A 13,654-nucleotide genomic window follows, 5' to 3' on the forward strand; every position below is an offset into this window, starting at 1 on the left:
AAACTTCCACCCAGAGAGGTTAAGTGACTTCTAGTCTAAGGCCAAATGGCTGTTTATTCATCCCCGGGGTGGGGCAGCCACGTGGACTTTATCTGTTCTGTCCATGGTTTGTTGATGACCAACTGAAGGAATTTATTACATCAAGGATGTTTAGAGACGGAAAGCAGTTCCCAACCCCACCTGGGATTTTTTTTAACAAGGAGGATTCTTGGGAAAGGTGAATTGGAATGTAAGGTTTTACTGATGCACCATTTCCTTGGGGCAGCACCCCAGTGGGCCACACACTGGGCTGTGCTTGGCCGCAGCCCTCCTTTTTGTAAGTCTCGGGGAGACTCTCTCCTGACCCTCTTTCAGGGGGAGAAAATGTCTGGCTGCAGGAGCGACTCCTTAAGCAGCTCTCCCCTCCCCTGGTCACCTGCAGAGGCCATCGCTAGGCTGGGCAGATGGCTTCAGTCTAGTCCCATCGACCGAGACAAGTTGCAGGTTTTCTCTCATTTGTTCTGACAGGACTGCGGATTTCAGCAGAAGGACTACAGCTCCTAAAACAGCCTGCGAGCAGAGGCAGCAGCCCAGGAAGACTTTACCCACAGCCTCAGGCTGAGACAAGACATGGCGAGACCCTGTCGGGGAGCCCAGGGGAAGGCGACTGTCCCCAGGGCGGCAGCTGCAGATGTGGCCGACGGTGCAGGGGTCCACTTACCGCAGTGCGACTGGAAAACCTGTGGCTTGACGACCTGGTTACAGGCACTGCACACTACGAGATAGAAGTCGTCATGTGCTGGGTAATGGCCAAATAAGTGCATATCTGTGGGGGAAATGAAAACAAGTGTGTTTTGAAAAAGCAATTAAGTCTCAGAAGGTGTACAGTTTCCTCTTGGAATTTCTTCAAGGACAGTTTTTCAAACACAACACGCAGAAAGGCAATAATCTTTACTAACGGGAACTCGGTTTGTCATAAGGCAACTCCCCGCCTCTTAGAGAAGCAAGTGCTTCAGAGAATCCCTCCTTATTTCTCCCCTGGAAATGCACTGCGGCTGCTCCTGATTCAGTCTGTGGTGTCGAGGGGCTGCTCTGAGTCACATGCTATGGGAATCACCCTGTCCTGAGAGAACCCACATGTTAGCTGGGATTCACACACTGAGGCTCTATATAGCTCAGGATGCGGGGAACTCCCCCAAACCCATTCCTGCATAAGCAGCGGTCCCTCAGGGAAGTGAGAGGTGTCTGGCTGGGGACAGAAGAAGTCATTTGGCCTCGGCAGTGCCTGGGTTTCCCCATCACTTGAGGGACATGCTAAGGCTGAAGGAGTCTGCTGAAGAAGTGGCTCATTTGCTGCCATCATTACCCATTATTCATTCAGTAAATATTTACTGAGTGCCTGAATGTGCCAGGCACTGTGCTAGGTGCTGGGAAAAACTGGGGAACAAGAATGAGTTCTCTGCTCTCCTGGAGCTTAAGGGAGCAGAAGAGAGAAGCATTAGGCAGACCACCACACAAGTCATCATTGCCTGCAGCTGTGTTAGGGGCTATGGAGGAGACACACGGGGTCCCCTGGGAGTGTGCGGCAGGTGGCCCTAACCTAGTGTGAGGCAGAGGAGAATGCTTCCCTGAGGAGGGGGCAGGTCATCTGAGACTCCAGGATGAGTAGAGGTTAAGGAAGCAAAGGGCCAGGCAGGGGGAAGGCGGAAAGTTTGAAGCTGAAGCCAAGGAAGGAGGCTCTGTGCATGGAGGGAGTCTTGGCGCCTCTTGGCTGGAACAGAACAGGGGAAACAGCAGGGTGAGGCTGGCCAGGCCCAGAAGCCATGAACCTTCCATGCCCAGGTGAGGATTTTGACTCTGACTTTAAGAACAATGAGAAGTACTGGGGCTTTTTAAGCAAAGAAGTGACGGGATCAGGTGCATACTGTTAAAAGATCAGTTACGTGGCAATACCTCCGAGACAATGAACACATATGTACATGGATGTTCACAGCAGCATTACTCAGAATAGCCAAAAAGTGGAAACAACCCAAACACCCACCAATTGACGAGTGGATAAACAAAATACCACAGAACATTATCCATCCACTGAAAGGAATAAGTACTGATCCGGTCTACAGTGTGGATAAACCTAGAAAATATTAGGCTAAATGAAGAGAGGCAGACACAAAAGGTCACATATTGAATGACCCCATTTATATGAAATGTCCAGAATAGGCAAATCTATAAACACAAAAAGGAGGTAAGTGCTTGCCTTGGGTTGGGGGGCCTGGAGGAATTCGAGGGTGACTGCTAACAGGTATAGAGTTTCTTTTTGGGTCAATGAAAATGTTCTAAGATCGATAGTGATGACAGTCACATAACTCTGAGAACAGACTAAAACCCACTGAACTGTACACTTTAAATGGTGAACTGTAGAGTATGTGAATTATATCTCAGCTGGGTGTGGTGGCTTACACCTGTAATCCCAGCACTTTGGGAGGTAGGATGATCAAGACCAGCCTGGAAAACGAAGTGAGACCCCCATCTCTACGAAAAATGTACAAAAATCAGCCGGGTGAGGTGACTTGTGCCTGTAGTCTCAGCTACTCAGGGGGCTAAGGTAGGAGAGTTGCTTGAGTCCAAGAGGTCAAGGCTGCAGTGAGCCATGATCACACCACTGCACTCCAGCCTGGGCAACAGAGTGAGACCCTGTCTCAGAAAGAAAAAGAAAAAGAAAAAAATTATCTATCTATCTATCTATCTATCTATCTATCTATCTATCTATCTATCATCTATCTACTATCTATCTACTATCTATCTATCTATCTATCTATCTATCTATCTATCTATCTATCTGACAAAAAAAGGTCAGTTATAGGAAACCCATGGTCACATCTTGTGCACCATCGGGTGGAGACAGGGCTCTGGCAGGCACCTCCGCACTGCCTCCTTTTAGCTGACTGGCTTTGAGAGGGCAGCCATGAACACTGGCAGGGGTGATACAGGAATTAAACCTCCTCTGGTTGAGAACCCCCACAAGCCTTCATCTGCTAGGTTCAACCTGTGTCTTTAATGAAACCCCTCAAACACGATGGTTCCCCTGACCACGATCCTAGGCCAGAAGAGGGGAAGGTTCAAACCCAACAGACACCTAAGGGAGGCCCCCAGGCTCTGTGCTGCATTCCCAGAGCAGCCCTGCTGCTTCAAGGGAAATGGAACTGACAGGTTTATCATAGGCAAGGGGTGAGGCCCCCACTTGCCCTGAAGGAAGCCTATGATTGAAAGAGTGGACCAGGCCTGCCTGGAGGCAGGTGACTCACACTGTAGGGGCCTCCCCAGGTTTCAGGTGCCCGAGGTGGCTGCTTGCCTCATGGAGGGTGACCAGGACACAGGCCCAACTGTATTTTAAAGGGTGTGGCCAGTCATCCCCCTCATCTCTCCCTACTGCCACTTCTAAGACTGGCACACACTGTCTTCTGGGAGTTGCTGGAGGGGAGCGTTATTAGTCAGGGCCTGGTAGGCAGGCGGGAGGCCTGTGGGAAGAGAGGCTGAGACAAGAGCCCGAACCTGGGCCCAGCCAACACCCTGTGGGCAGGCAGGACCCTCAGTTCAGAGCCTTAGAGCCGCGGAGATGACCCTTCTTGGGCCTTAACTGTTGACACAGCTCTCGATTTGCTTTTAATTTACAGGTTATTTTTGTAACATATATTCATTTTTTAAAAATAAAACAAAAGGGATCCAAGTTCTCCGAAGATACATTTGAAAAAATACAGAAAACCTAGAAGAAATTAAAGAAAAATACCATTACCAGAAAACTTTATTAACACTTCGCATCTCATTTCGACTTAAAGTCACATTTTATATCCAGGAACAGGTAAAACCAGGAGCTGATGAGGGCTACAACTTATTTATTTATTCAATAAGCATTTATATGGCTGCCTGACATCCTTTCTGCAACAGGTCAAGCTATGAAGGAATATAAGGTGATATTAAAAATTAAAACAACAACAGCAACAAACCAAACCAAGCATTAACAAAAATTTCTTGAACATCTACTCTTGTGCCAGAAACTGCCGAGTGCTGGGAGGCTGAGACCAGACATTGGAGGGTGTGGGGAATTTGTCCCTGCACCTTTGTCTTACATGCTGGGTGACCTGTCGAGGCCTGTCAGGCTGCCACTGACGCCCCATTCTTCTGTATTCCTCCAGAGACCTGCAGAGCCCATCCCGTCTCCCCCACCCCCACAGTCACACACATCTGTTATGTCAGTGAGCGGAAGGTAAAGGTTCGGCTCCTTAGAGACTGTGGCCACCTGGAGGTGTGTTCCCCTCCAGGCCTTTCCCGTTGAGACTTTTCCTAGTTTCCCTAGAGGGAAGTGTCAACCTTGTACGTGTCTGATCTGAGCATGTCTCCTGTGGAAAGTGAGAGGACCTGGGAATCTGCTTGATTATTCCTCAGTGAGTCAACCTTAGGATCTCCTCTACAGGCTGCCCAGGTCCTGAGGGCCCTGCCGATGGCGAGCAAAGACAGGCAGCTGGCTCCCAGGAAGACCACCACTTCACACGGCTGGGTGTTCACAGGCACTGTGCTGTTCCATTAGAGCAATGCGGGCTGGGGGACAAAGCAGGGAGGGAGGGCAGGGAGAGAGGAGAACTAATGACAGGCATAATGCTAGGCACTCTGCTAATTAATTCTCTTTCCTTCCCTCTCTCTCTAATTTACCCCCAAGCAAAACGTTCGGTGCACAGTTAAAAACAGTGGTGAGCTGAAGTGGGCTGATACCAGCTTGTGAGAGCCAATCATACATGTCGTTTTCCAATTTCATGTTTAGTGTCGTCATGGCAGTAGCTTGAAATCAGCCATGGTGGAAGTATTTACACCAAGGAAATGGGCAAACACTACAAATCAGGCTTTTTGTTTTTCTTTTGTTAAATATTTACTGGTACACCACTGAATAAAAACGGGCAAAAAAGTGAAGAGTGAAACCACCTGTAATGCCACCACCTAGTGATAACCACTGTTGACATATTAATATATATCTCTCCAGATTTGTGATGTGATAACGTTATCTTAGTTAATCTTCATAATGAACCTGCAAAATTGTCAACATCTCCACTTTCCAGGCAAGGCAACTATAGTAAAGTAATTTGCTTGCAATCTCACAGCAGTGATTTGTAAAAAGTAGCATGAGATTCCCGGATACTCTGACTCTAAAGCCATTTCTCTTTTCTCAGCAAAATGCTTCTTACGTAGAACAACATCCCATTTCACAGATAAGAAAACCAGTTTGGAAGGGCTTCCTGGATGACTAACAGGCTGTCCTGAGGCTCTGAAGGGGCTGTTGGCCTGGGCACTGGCCTGGGGTCAGAAGGTGAGGTTGGGAGCAGAGGGCTCATTGCTGAGCCTTTCCTAGGGTGAGTGTCCTCATCTCTGAAAATGGCTAACAGTCTCTGCTTCATGGGGTTGCTGTGATGACTCCTACACACTGCTTGGCCTTGTACCTTTTTCCAGGAGGGACTCAGGAGAGAGTGTGGAGAAAGCTTTCATCATTACCTCTCTTATTTTTAAAAGTTCACTAGTTCCCTCCAACACAGAGTCCTTGCTCCTAAGGACTCTCCCCCATGACATTTCACAGCAGACTTAGGAAGGCTGATCCCTCTGACTGCAGAACTTCATGTGTGTGTATGTGCACATGTGTACACATGTGGACAGAGGAAGGCTGAGAGCCACTGGGAGGCATCTCTAGGCTGTGGCTGAATGCCAAGAAAACATGTGCCCAATGAAGACGGAACTTTGTCCAAACACAATGTACAACCATCTCCCAAAGAGACAAAGCCAGACCTGTCTGCTTTGCCCTGTTTTGTCACCACAAATGGATAAACTGTGGATTAGATAGAGTGCTAGCACCACCACAGCATTATCACAGAGTGATCTGGTCACCCCCTGGCCTGATCACAGGCAGGGAGGAGGCAACTCCATTAACTCCATCTTTCAGATGAGAAAACAGAGGTACATTGGCTTCTGGGTCAATATTTTTAGTTTTTGACCCCAACCCGCTATAGACATGTAGTCATCCATCCATCTATCCATCTTTCCATCCACCCACCCACCCCACCCATCCATCCACCTATCCATCCACCCATCCATCCATCCATCATCCATCATTGAAACATGTGGTGTACACGCTGATATTTTCTGTTGTTCTATTCATTTCTTCTTATTTTACTCTATTCTATTTCATTTAAAAAATGCTCATTCAGCTCCCTAAATTAAGTTCAGGACTGTTCAATGGGTTACAACTCAAAGTTTGAAAAACACGCTTCAAGGCACTGTAGTGAGAGGCTGAGCAGAATCTGAGAGTTAAGTTGGGATTTAAAGTGGTCTGAGCTGGTCCTCAGTGGTCATCCAAGAGCCTGAAGCCAGAAACTGAATCATTAATGCCATTATGCTGCAGCCAGCTAGTACCAGCTCACAAGAGCTGAAAATGTGCAATTCTTCCCAACTCTGCATTCAGTGATGCCATGTTGGTAGCTTGAATCAGCCAAGGTGGGAGTATTTACACGATGGAAATCGGCATCCACTACAAACCAGGACTTCTTCCCGCAGAGAGCTGGTTGTTAAAACATTTACACCAGCACTTCGCTGACTAGTGTCCCCTTCTAGCATCACTGCTTCCTGGCTCGATTTCTCCAGCTATAAAATGGAAAATTATATTCATCATGTACCATACTGGGACGCAGACAGGTTTTATGAACTGAACTGAAATGGAAATCATTATATTAATTTAAAATTATGGTTACCGCATCAATTATTGACCTAAGAACTTATGCCCAACAGAGCCAGGTAAACAAGTTGATCACCTCCTGTGTCAAATGAGGCTATAAATTGTCATGGGTGGGGTGGGGGATGGGGAATTAGGTTACTGGAGTTCTTTCCAATGTCTATTGACTTAATGCTTACTCATTAAAGATTATTCAGGAGATTACTCACAGATCAGGCTTGTAGCATTAAATCAGGTCTGCTTATAAATTTATCACACTCTTCTCAGTGCCTCTGTTTCGAGCAAGCAGCCCTCCACTTCCCTTACTGAACTTCTGGTACAATTCCCATTCATGGCAGAGTCCATCACATTCACGTTATCAGCTTGGTCTGGCACTCAGCCTGCTTCCCAATAGCACTGAGGTTCTCCCAGGCCTCTGTCCACTCTCACAGCCTTCCTCCCGCTGAAATCTGCTTCTCACACCCCCAGGTGGCAGAGGAGGGAGGGATGGAACAGAACTCAGTTGTGACGTAAGGAGACACAAAGTTTGGGACAACAGAATGGTTCCTACAAAAGTAAAGTACTAACTGACTTCCCAGTGTAGTTGGTAAAGTGCTTCTGAAGTCAACACTGAAAAAGAAACTGGCAGCATGGGAGCAGCGTTTTATTCCAGATAAACAGCCTTCTAGAGAGAACACTTTTGACAAGCAAAGTCATGTGTTTATAAACTTTAGTTTATATCCAATATTCACTTTTGAAAATGGTTACAGTTAAGGAAAAGGCAGGGTGACATCTCCAATTCTCTATTTACACAGGACTTGTTTCTAAGATGGGAAGACAGCTGGTTTTGTGGATTCAGGATCAAGCTAGATGCTGCGTGCCTTTGAATTTGCCCCTGGATACCTTCCAAGGCTCGAGACTTTGACATTATGAAGCAACAACTGGTGAGAGCTCAAATGATGAAAACCTTAAGAGAGACTAAATAAGGCTTGATTCCTCCCTTTTGCAAGCAGGAATTCCAGGTGAAGCACCAGATGTACAGAGAAGCTGCAAGAAGCAGACACTACTTTGAAGGCAGTCGGACAGCCTATTGGCAATCAGTGATATCTACGCTCACCATAGAGAATCCCACGGTCGGAAAAAAGAAGACAGCAAAACAGACAACCTTAAATTCTAGTTTCTTGGAAAAAATAACACAGCTCCTGAAAATGGCCTTAGATTTCAGGGTTGTGAAACTACCTCAGTCGCTATAGGAATTACAAAAATGTCAAGATGGCATACGCTATAATGCTATAGCTATTAACATAATTTTATATAATTTAAACATTATGCTTTTCATTTTAACTTACTCTAAAAGGTACTGTAATGAAAAAAATTGGGGCTGTATTTATGTTAATTTAAACATTCCAAGCTCTTTCCAGGAAGGTAGATGTGAGCTCTACCTAAAAAGTAAGTCTTAGCTGGGCGTGGTGGCTCACGCCTGTAATCCCAGCACTTTGGGAGGCCGAGGCGGGCAGATCATGAGGTCAAGAAATTGAGACCATCTTGGCTAACACAGTGAAATCCCATCCCTACTAAAAATACAACCATTAGGTGGGCGTGGTCGTGCGCACCTGTAGTCCCAGCTACTTGGGAGGCTGAGGCAGGAGAATAGCTTGAACCGTGAGGCGGAGCTTGCAGTGAACAGAGATCGCGCCACTGTAATCCAGCCTGGCAACACAGCAAGACTCTGTCTCAAAAATAAATAAATAAATTAATTAATTAAGTCTCTGCTCACTGGGAGGTAACTGGACCCACAGATCTCGGTAGGACCTACGGATGTGACAAACCTGTGACAATGGCCAGAGGACCAGGTGCTATTGATCTTCCTTGGAAAACTATCAAAAAGCTGTGCTGGTGGCTGACAGTGGTTTTGATCTGTGGGCTTCTGCTTACATGAACTCAGACAGGCCAAATTCCTGAGAAGAACAGCAACTGTAGTTCAAGGATATGTGATTCACTCCAAGCAGATTCAAATCTGGACATAGAATGGCTGGTCCTAAGAGTCTTCCTTTCCCCTAATAATCTTTATGCACTTATTATACTGTATTTATTAATTTTTCTTTTTGCTATCAGAGTTTTCAGTTGCATTTTAATCACTTAACGGTGCATGGAAAGCTTAAGGCAATATACAAAGATGTTTCTCCTTTGCTCTGACAGAATGATTTTATTTGTTCCCCAATTCTAAAATCTCCTTAAATTCATAGAACAAAACAAGTTGGTGTCTGAAAATGACCTCAGACTCGACATCTCCTACTTCCCCAGCAGAATGTTGAGCTCCCCTCTAGGAAAATGTGATCACTTTCTGTTTCTCAGATCTCTGGAAACCAAGGGCTCCATTGTGAGAGATTCAAAATCAGTGAAATCTGCAAAGGGAAAATGAAGGAAGAGAACTAGAAAAGCAAGCAGCAGCGGTGAGCTCTCCAGCATCACTCCAGCATCAAGGGGAGTGAGCGTGCGGGTGCGTGCAGGCGGCAGCAGCAAAGCTTTTCTTCTTTTGCAAACCAATGGCTAAAATGACTCCTGGCCTCTTCCTGCCACGGCTAGGCTGGAAGGCATCCCCTCCCTGGCTACAGCCCAGAGCCGGGCCTGGTAGCAGGTCAGTGCTGAGAAACACAAGGGGCAGGTGGAAGCTCCTCATTAGGCTGCATGAACAGGATGTCCGCCCCCGGACCCCAACCCCAACCACCCAACAAAACATGACCACACAAGACAGTCTCAGCCCCACTTCCTCAGGAGAAGGACCTTTAAAGACCAGCATTCAAGATGTATGGAGGCGAAGGGGCTGCACTGGGTCCCCAGGATGCTTCCTTAGGCCTCAGGTCTCGCCCAGAGTTGAGAACAAAAACTATTAGAGATGGGCCTTAAAAATGCAGTGCCTGCTTGCTGAGCCCTGGAGTTTGGAAGCCCAAGTTCAAATTTGGCATTTGGCTTATAATCTTCTCTAAGCTTGTGTTTCCACACATGGAATTAGATGACTTATTTGTGAAGAGGCTGGCACACAGAAGGGATATAAAAAATAGAACATGTTATTATCTGTGGCCTTCTTCTCATCTCTCCCACTCACCTGGCCTCTCCTCAGGGAAGCCTCCCTCTCCCCTCCTGGTGCGCCCTCACTCGGCAAAGCCCGGCAGCTTTCCTAAGGCTGTTGTGGAGTGGCTGGTTTATGTCTCTGACTCTCACCAGACGGCAATCTTCCGGAAGACAGGAATTGTGACTTATCGCCCTTCCTATCTCCATAGTCAAACAGTCTGGCATGTGGTAGCTGCTTAATCAATGGTAATATGTTAACTAGGCTGAGGTTCCCAAGAAGTTGATTTATTTTCCATACTCATTCATTTTCTCTTCTCTCGAAAGGGGAAGTAGTAAATGATAATAAATTGCCCTAATATCCATGCTGCTATCTAAGATTACGAGGTCAATAATTGTCTCTATTTATTCACTCTTTGAGCTCCTTGGAAGATAAGCACTAAGGGAATCTAAGGCATGATCCAGGTGAGCCGTCAGTGGAGAAGTGGTCTATTCCTGTGCCCACCATGCCAAGTGCATGAAAGCTGTTCCTTCCCCCCACCCCATGGCAAACACAGCTACTCTGCACTCAACAAGGCCCCCTTCAGAGCCAGTGTTTGGGATGGGCTTGGGTGTTTTTTGGATGCTCTCTCTGGTCCCATTTTCTACTTCCTGACTTTGGGCTGCCATTGACATCCAGACTGTGTGTGATCCTGGGCCTGGAAGATCTAGACTTCTCCCTCCCCTTCCTGTCTCAGCTCTGCACTGTCTGACACTGGGCCAGCATGCAGGGGGCTAACTGAGGGCACATGTTGGCAATCTGAGCCCAACCTGGCAGAGATCTCACTGATTGGCTAGACAGTGATGACCTTGGTAGCCAAGAGAATAACTGTGCAAAGGGCTCCCCTTGGCCTATGCCTGCCTTAGGCTCATGCATATCTTCATCTTCCCCACCCTATCATTCACAGTTCCATTCACAGTAGGAGCTAAGTAGAAGTCTTACTTGAAGATCTCCTTGTAGGCAACTGAATTCAGCCTTCTCTCTGACATTTAAGTAGACTTTGGAATAAAAAAATAGCTACCCTGAAGTATAATGAAGAACTTGATGTCCGCCATATTGCTTCTTGAGATTCACATGCTGAGAGGCTTTTCTTCTATTTGGATGAAAAAAAGATAGGAATCCCAGGCAAAGAAATGGGGTGGATGATCAGTTGTATGTGGGAGCTAAAACGCTGTATTAAGGGCTCTCATAGCTCCGCTAAGACTAGAACAATGATGAGAAACGCAGTTCTCACTAGGTCTTCTATTACTGTTTAGAGATTTTAATTTAGAAATGGACCAAATAGCCTCAGGAGGGGCCAGGCAGCAGCATCCATCTACCACAGACAGAGATGCACCACCTGTCCCAACACAGCATTCTGAGAGATTTCTTGGATAACACGTTGCAGGACTACACTGGAAGAGAGTCCATAAAGAAGCCCTCCTGCGGTGCCTTACATGTGCAGGAATGTGACATTTGTAAAGGCACAAGGAGAGGCCTTTGCCAGTGGGACTGCATCGCAGCAGGCCTCAGCTGTCAAGCTATTACTACAAATGTCATCCAGAACATGTGATGGAGACCACATGAAAATGCCCACTCCAGAAAATTCCCCCATCGTGTTGCACACACCAACCCCTGCTCAGTGGTAGGGGGGTTATATCAGTGTTCTGCTTGAAGATTCAGAGATGAAGAAGAGACACACTGCTCGGAATCCCTGAGACTAGAGTTCAGGAATGACAGGCAATCCCACGGCTGATGGTCTTAATGGGTCCTACTGGCCATGGTGGGCGAGAGACCTCTGATCCTGTGGCACTTGTTAGTGTTTCCAAGAGGAAAGCAGAAGTTGGTTCTGGCTGTGACTGATCTCTAACTGGCAAAGCAATTGCGACATTTTTTTTTCTCCCTATGGAACGCCTTTAGTCAAGGCTATTGGATCCCCACAAGCCCCTCAAGATTACAATAATCGCCCAAACGATGCTGCCAGAGCTCAGAGGTAAATGTGCTCACTTCGAGGTCAGTGTCCACTTGGGAGAGCCAGAAAACAGTGGAAAGGAACTGTGTAATGTCCCTGGGAATCGGTGTTCAAAGCACTCCAGCCACTGGGACAGCCAGACTACAGGAAGCTGCTGACAGATATCCCAAGGCATTCTCCCAGGAATGGGTGCTTATAAAGGGAACCAGAACCACTCCAGCTGGACTGGCTACCGACTGCACCAATGCTGCCGAGGGACAGAAATAAACTTTTGCTGTAAGGGAACAGAAAGAAGCACTGGGGCATCTCAGCACATCTGGGCCCCTCAAGCCAGTCGTATGTGCCTGGAAGACCACTTTGAAGGTGCTGGGGCCTAAAGCACAAGGGCACAGGAATTAAAACTCCCCCATAGAAGAGCTACAGAAAGTTGTTTTAAGGTAATGGAAAATAAGATCGATCAGCTAGAGGAGAAAAATCACAATGTCCTTAATCACAAGTCAAGCATGAAACTAGTTATGGGCCAAAGAAAAAAGGGACACTGTTGGCAAGATTCATGAAGCCCTGTGATTGGGCCCCAATCCCTGGGTTCCCAGCTTCAGTTTCCACCAAATCCTCTTTCACTGCTGCCCATCCCCGACTCTTCCCTCCATACTTGCCAAAATCCTGTGTATCCTTCAAGGTCCAGCTTGGTGTAGCCTCCTTCAGGGAGCCTTCTTCAATTCCCGCAGAAACAACAAACACTTTCTCTGTATTTGCACGCTCCTCTGCATCTTAGTGCTGCACTTAGCCCACTCTGTCTGGTGTTTAAAGATAGTGGTGGATACGGCTGTCTTTCCCATTTGTACACTGTTTTATATACAGACTCAGACATTTATCAGTCAAAAGTGAAGACTGCCAGAAACGTACTCAAATGCTTAAAAAAGCACCAATGAATCAAAGCTGCCTTAGACTAAAGAACCACACAGGAAACTTAGCTGGGCAGCTGTGGGGTAGTGGAATGAGCAACAAATTCCTGTTCTGCCTCCAGTTGGCTGTGCAACACAGGGCAAGCCACAGAACATCTCTGGATCTCCCTTCCCTCTTCCAGAAAACAGTGTCTTACCTCCCCTGTAAGGTTGCTGCTAGGATTAAATGAGATAACTTATGCCAGTGATAGCATCTTATAGGTATTCAATTAAATGCTCAAGAAATTTAGCTGAATTTTAGCCTGAATTCGCTAAGTAAAAAGCCAAAGACCCTCAAAGGAACACTATTTTACAGAGGCAGCCGTGTTTTGCTTAGAATGCAGGTTCTGGAGTCAGATCGCCTGAACTTGAATTCTAGCACCACCTACTTGGGAAATTTCTCTGGGCCTCAGTTTCCTCATCTGCAAAATGGGGTGGTAATAATAGGGTAGTTGTCAGAATAAGATGGGATAACACATGTCTGATGTCTGATACTTGGGATGCTGTCAATACATATCATTTAGAATCAGATTTTGCATGGTGGGATTTAAAAAAACAGAGCAAAACAGTTAGTATGAAGTTTCACTGGAGCAAAACAGTTAGTATGAGGAATAAAATCACTGTTAAAAGTCACCAGACCTTGAACTTCCAGGCTTCTAAACCACAGGGTGAGCAAACAGTAGATGAGGGCTTCTCAAAGTATGAATACGACCTGTAACTTTCTTGCCAAACACAGATGACTAGACCCCATCTCAGATCTAGGAAATCAGATTCTCTGGGGTATGGAGTCGAGCAGAATGCTTTTTAAGCAAGCTCCTCAAGGGATCTGATAGCTCCTAAACTTAGCCAATCATTGTCCTATCATGATCACTACTAAAGTGGAGACACCCGCTGATATATTCCAGTATTAATGTGGTAATATGGAACTT

General features: G+C 46.5%; 1 protein-coding gene across 3 annotated transcripts in view, besides 6 other annotated features; it reads right to left on the minus strand.

The window, feature by feature from the left end:
- The window catches only part of ATXN7L1 (ataxin 7 like 1), a 271,828-nt gene that overhangs the window by 183,132 nt on the left and 75,042 nt on the right, over positions 1–13,654 (minus strand). For all 3 annotated transcript variants that reach the window (NM_020725.2, NM_001385596.1, NM_152749.3), the window contains exon 3: positions 701–805. In NM_020725.2, coding sequence (NP_065776.1) covers positions 701–805 — 105 coding nt within the window. The remainder of the gene's footprint in view (positions 1–700; positions 806–13,654) is intronic.
- Positions 62–597: an enhancer, noted in NCBI's record as "H3K27ac-H3K4me1 hESC enhancer chr7:105428411-105428946 (GRCh37/hg19 assembly coordinates)". NCBI's record gives its function as "activates a minimal SCP1, AML or CMV promoter by ChIP-STARR-seq in naive H9 embryonic stem cells {active_cell/tissue: H9 hESC(naive)}" and the evidence as "EXISTENCE:reporter gene assay evidence [ECO:0000049][PMID:30033119]".
- Positions 3,903–4,461: an enhancer, noted in NCBI's record as "H3K27ac-H3K4me1 hESC enhancer chr7:105432252-105432810 (GRCh37/hg19 assembly coordinates)". NCBI's record gives its function as "activates a minimal SCP1, AML or CMV promoter by ChIP-STARR-seq in primed H9 embryonic stem cells {active_cell/tissue: H9 hESC(primed)}" and the evidence as "EXISTENCE:reporter gene assay evidence [ECO:0000049][PMID:30033119]".
- Positions 4,462–5,018: an enhancer, noted in NCBI's record as "H3K27ac-H3K4me1 hESC enhancer chr7:105432811-105433367 (GRCh37/hg19 assembly coordinates)". NCBI's record gives its function as "activates a minimal SCP1, AML or CMV promoter by ChIP-STARR-seq in primed H9 embryonic stem cells {active_cell/tissue: H9 hESC(primed)}" and the evidence as "EXISTENCE:reporter gene assay evidence [ECO:0000049][PMID:30033119]".
- Positions 6,568–7,767: an enhancer, noted in NCBI's record as "MED14-independent group 3 enhancer chr7:105434917-105436116 (GRCh37/hg19 assembly coordinates)". NCBI's record gives its function as "activates an origin of replication core promoter dependent on BRD2, BRD4, P300/CBP and CDK7 cofactors, and independent of MED14, by STARR-seq in HCT116 cells {active_cell/tissue: HCT116}" and the evidence as "EXISTENCE:reporter gene assay evidence [ECO:0000049][PMID:35650434]".
- Positions 8,837–9,337: an enhancer, noted in NCBI's record as "H3K4me1 hESC enhancer chr7:105437186-105437686 (GRCh37/hg19 assembly coordinates)". NCBI's record gives its function as "activates a minimal SCP1, AML or CMV promoter by ChIP-STARR-seq in naive H9 embryonic stem cells {active_cell/tissue: H9 hESC(naive)}" and the evidence as "EXISTENCE:reporter gene assay evidence [ECO:0000049][PMID:30033119]".
- Positions 12,778–12,827: a silencer, noted in NCBI's record as "silent region_18523". NCBI's record gives its function as "represses an Ori minimal core promoter by ATAC-STARR-seq in GM12878 lymphoblastoid cells {active_cell/tissue: GM12878}" and the evidence as "EXISTENCE:reporter gene assay evidence [ECO:0000049][PMID:35858748]".

Source organism: Homo sapiens, chromosome 7 (assembly GCF_000001405.40).
Source record: "Homo sapiens chromosome 7, GRCh38.p14 Primary Assembly".
In the NCBI taxonomy this organism is placed as follows: domain Eukaryota; kingdom Metazoa; phylum Chordata; class Mammalia; order Primates; family Hominidae; genus Homo; species Homo sapiens.